Source organism: Homo sapiens, chromosome 5 (assembly GCF_000001405.40).
Source record: "Homo sapiens chromosome 5, GRCh38.p14 Primary Assembly".
Classification (NCBI taxonomy): Eukaryota; Metazoa; Chordata; class Mammalia; order Primates; family Hominidae; genus Homo; species Homo sapiens.
The window spans coordinates 164,072,348-164,076,538 of record NC_000005.10 but is presented as its reverse complement, the minus strand read 5'-3'; the positions used below and the strand labels follow the sequence as shown (position 1 = coordinate 164,076,538).

Sequence of the window (4,191 nt, the reverse complement as noted above, 5' to 3'; positions counted from 1 at the left end):
TCCTTTTTTTTTTTTTTCTTTTTTCTGATTTACTTGTTTGTTTGTAATGGAGTAGGAGAAAAGTAGTGTTGAAGAAGACTGGATTTTAAGATTCATAAGCTGCAAAGGTAAAATCACAGTGACTAACTATAGAGGCTTTAGAATGGATGGACCTGATTCTCAGTTCATGGTTTCCTGTGTGACACTGAGGAACCAGCTTAACCTCTCAGTTTCCTCGACTGAAAAGTGGGTATAATAATAGTAGCGACCTCTTGTTGTATTTGAGATGATTAAATGAGATAATGAAGTGAAGCATACAATACTCAGCACATAATTCTGCCTCTTAGTATTCATTTAAATGAATAATTTAACATAATTTAATTATTATGAACTTAACCTCTTTAAGTTGCATTTCCTCATCTGTGAAATGATAACAATAACTACTTTGTGTCTATTTCATTATGTTAATGTGAGAATCAAACGAAATCGTGGACATAAAGTATCTGTAACATGATTCTTGGGAGCCTTTCTGTACTTCTGAGATTTAAGTGAAATGGTCCTGAATGCTCTAAATTTTAAAATTTGTGTGTTCCCACTGTTTATTAACACACAGACACACACACACAAACACACACTCAGAGTTTCTACCAATTTCCCATCTTACTTTCTCATTGCCCCTATTTCCATGCCTGTTTTCATAGACATTCCCAGGAACCCACGTGTCAAATTCAGACCCAAGATTCTGTCCTCCTTCGATTCTTCTAAGGAATCTCATCACTTTGAGCACACACGAGCTTAGTAACTTTACTGAAGATCATCAAACATAGTGTCTTGTTATGGTGCCCCCATCTTCTATTCCGTGCTATACCCCACTGCTGTCAGCGTTCCGAAAGCTTGTCCCGCCATATGCTGCCCACCTTGTCACACAGGGCTGGCTGGACGAGGTAGTTCTAATGCTTCTACTGCAGCTGCTTTTGGAATGACACTCCCCACTTCCCATTCCAAATGTCTTCCTTTGTCAACTAAAAAGCATGCACTCTAAAGTATCAGATATGTAAATTATAAGAAGGCTGAAATTTTAATTTCAAGTCAATTCAGGATGTATCTATTGATGCTCTTCCTTAGTCATAAATTGTGCTAGTTTCTCCAAATGCAATAATAGCTACACCATATTTCCTTCTCCAAAAAGCTGGCAGCCACGTTCAAAAAGAGCAAGGATGGCAAATGGCTACAGGACAGCATCATCAGTGAAGAGGGGACAAGGCAGTGCATCTCCCACTTCTGGAGAAGGTAAAAAAAAAAAAAAAAAAGGCACAACAGGATAATGAGATCTGTAGGAGAAAGACAAGATAAAGGAAAAAGAAGAGAAGGTTATTTCAGGTAGACAAAAAACTGTTGCAAACAAAAAGGAAGAAAAAACACTTAGAAGCATAGCATGCTGAGGGAACAAAAAACATTTTATTGTGTTTAGAGTCCAGGCTAGGCACTGAGATGGATCTCTACTCCAATGTGTAAATATTTCTAAAACCAAAACAAGATTGAAAAAGTCATATTTTAATACTATTTAGATAAAAATAATGATCAAATCCAGCTCAGAATTAATAATCTGGAATAAAAACAGGCTTTGGAATCTCAGGTTTCTTCTCATTATATATTTATATAGATAGATATCTATATATCAATAAATGATATATATATCATAATACATTGTAATAGGAGCAAGCAATAATAGATATTGTTATAATAATTACAATAGATAATTATGTAGCTTTAGGATACCTTGGTATCTGGAAAGATGACATGTAAGAGCCCCAAAATATAGGGTTTTCGAGGGCACATACAAATGCACCCTTGGATGCTAAAATGAGAATCCCAACCAGAACTAAATAAGAGCACATCAATTTTTGCCCTTAGAGGCAAATTTTCCTATTCTCTATCATTAAAAGTTATTTCATTGCAATGAAAATAGGTTTTTACAGCTGGGACTAAAATTCCTACTTAAAAGCTAGCGAAAAGATTATAGTTACCATAGATAGAGGAAAGGCAGCATGAAATTGGGGGTTGTCAAGGTAAAAGAAGAACCTAAACTTAAAACTGAACTCAGAGAAGACCCATGTAATAAGTAAGGTTATTCCACCTGAGAGAGATGAGAAATGTCCTATCTTTCTCCTACATAAATGGTTTTTAAATATATATATGTGTTTCAAATATAAATAGATCTTACCTTCTAAATTTGAGAATAAAATCTAAGCATGTTTGAATCTCAGGGTTTATCCAACCAAAATTCAAAGAATGACCTCCTGGTCTTTGCCCAATATGCCCAGCCCAACTCTTTTTATGCAAGCGTGGGTCCAATTTTCTTTACAACGCACAGTACCAACTGTGTAGTGAAAATTTGTGTAAAATAACTTTTGTCTAGAGTGTAGCGATAGTTGAATAACATCTGAGGTACCCTAATAAGGAATCTACATTCTAGGGTTTTCCTTAGCTCCTAAAGGTTCTCAGTCAGTTATGTACACTCCAGAGGCAGCTATTGTTAGTTCTTCAAATGCTACTATATAAATTTGCCAGAGTTTATTAGTTACAATAAAGGATATTAGAAGTGAATTTTTGTTGTTAAAAAGTCACAAAAGTGACTTTTTGGAGACACTGTTGAAAAGTATTATTGAAAAGCTTGAGACTTTAATGCCTCTGGGTTAGTACTCCAGATCTAGAAGGCTTGAGCATCTGTTCCCCCCAAAAATGGAATAGTTTGAGAGTCAGTGGGATTTTCAAAGGGTCTATAAGGATGGAAAGTAGAGTCTTTACCTATAAGGAATAGGCTGCATGACCGTTTATGCACCTAGTGTTAACAATGTCTGTTTGTGTGCCAGGAGCTTGACAGGGGACTGGCTGTCACTGAGACCTAATGCTTCATAGTGTTGCTGGACTGTGTGAAGACATCTAGCTTCTACTTACCTCTAACTGTTGGAAGTAATCAGTAATTACCAAAGGACTTTACTAATGGTGAAAGTCAAATGATGTTTACCTGGGTTCCTGAAATTCCAACCTCCATACATAGACACACTTGAAAATAACCCTTATCAAAGTCATGCCACTTTAGCACTATGGTGATTTTGACTCCCAAGGGATGTTTGGCAATGTTTGGAGAAATTTTTGTTGTCACAGTTGGAGGTAGGGGTGCTACTAGCATCTGATAAATAGAGGCCAGGCATGCTGCTAAGTGTCCCACGGGGAATAAGACAATCGCCCCTCCCAACAAAAGTTTATCTGGTTTCAAATGTCAGTAGTGCTGATGTTGAGAAATTCTGAGCAAAGGATATAGTTGGGGCCCCAGGCCTGAAAACTGATAAGACCTCATTCTCTAAGTCTTACTCAGGAGAAGCCACATCTTCGCTTCCTTTCAGAATATCCTCTTGATTCCATCCCAAGATCCCCTTTCTCTCTCAAATAAACATCAAGAATTATATAAACTTGTTAATTCCTGGTCAAGCACAGGAGCTCATAAAGTTTTGCACAACTTCTATAATGCATAATACTTGGGCACAAATGAGGATTTTTATATTTCCAGTCTTCAGAAGGTGGAAAACACTAAGAACATTCCAAATATCAATGGCTCAATAAACCCTCATCTTGACTTTGAAGAAACCACACATTCAGTCCAATGGTTGTGAGGCATTGACACTACACCTTCCTTGTTCTAATTTTTTCTAGAAGATAGAAGGGGCAGGCAAGCATGGCAGTGCTATATAATAATGTCCATAATAATAATGGACATGATGATGATGCTAGTTATTTACTGCTATAAAAGTGATAGGGTCGGGCACTGTGGCTCATGCCTATAATTCTAGCACTTGGGGCAGCCGAGGCAGGTGGATTGCCTGAGCTCAGGAGTTTGAGACTAGCCTGGGCAATATGGTGAAACCCCATCTCTACAAAAAATACAAAAATTAGCCCGGCATGGTGGCTCATGCCTGTAGTCTGAGCTACTCAGGGGGATGAGGCGGGAGGATCACTTGAGCCCAGGAGGTGGGGGTTGCAGTGAGCCAAGACGGCGCTGCCACTGCACTCCAGGGTGACACAGTAAGATCTTGTCTCAAAAAAAAAAAAAAAAAATAGGATTCCATAGTACTAAGAATGTGCCTTATATTATTTATGTATTTTACACCCACCTTATTAAGAAGGTGTTATAATTCCCATTTTATAAATTAG

The 4,191-nt window shown here is 37.6% G+C and overlaps 1 annotated feature.

The window, feature by feature from the left end:
* Positions 2,750-2,950: a silencer, noted in NCBI's record as "peak5565 fragment used in MPRA reporter construct". NCBI's record gives its function as "represses an SCP1 promoter by STARR-seq MPRAs in K562 erythroleukemia cells {active_cell/tissue: K562}" and the evidence as "EXISTENCE:reporter gene assay evidence [ECO:0000049][PMID:32103011]".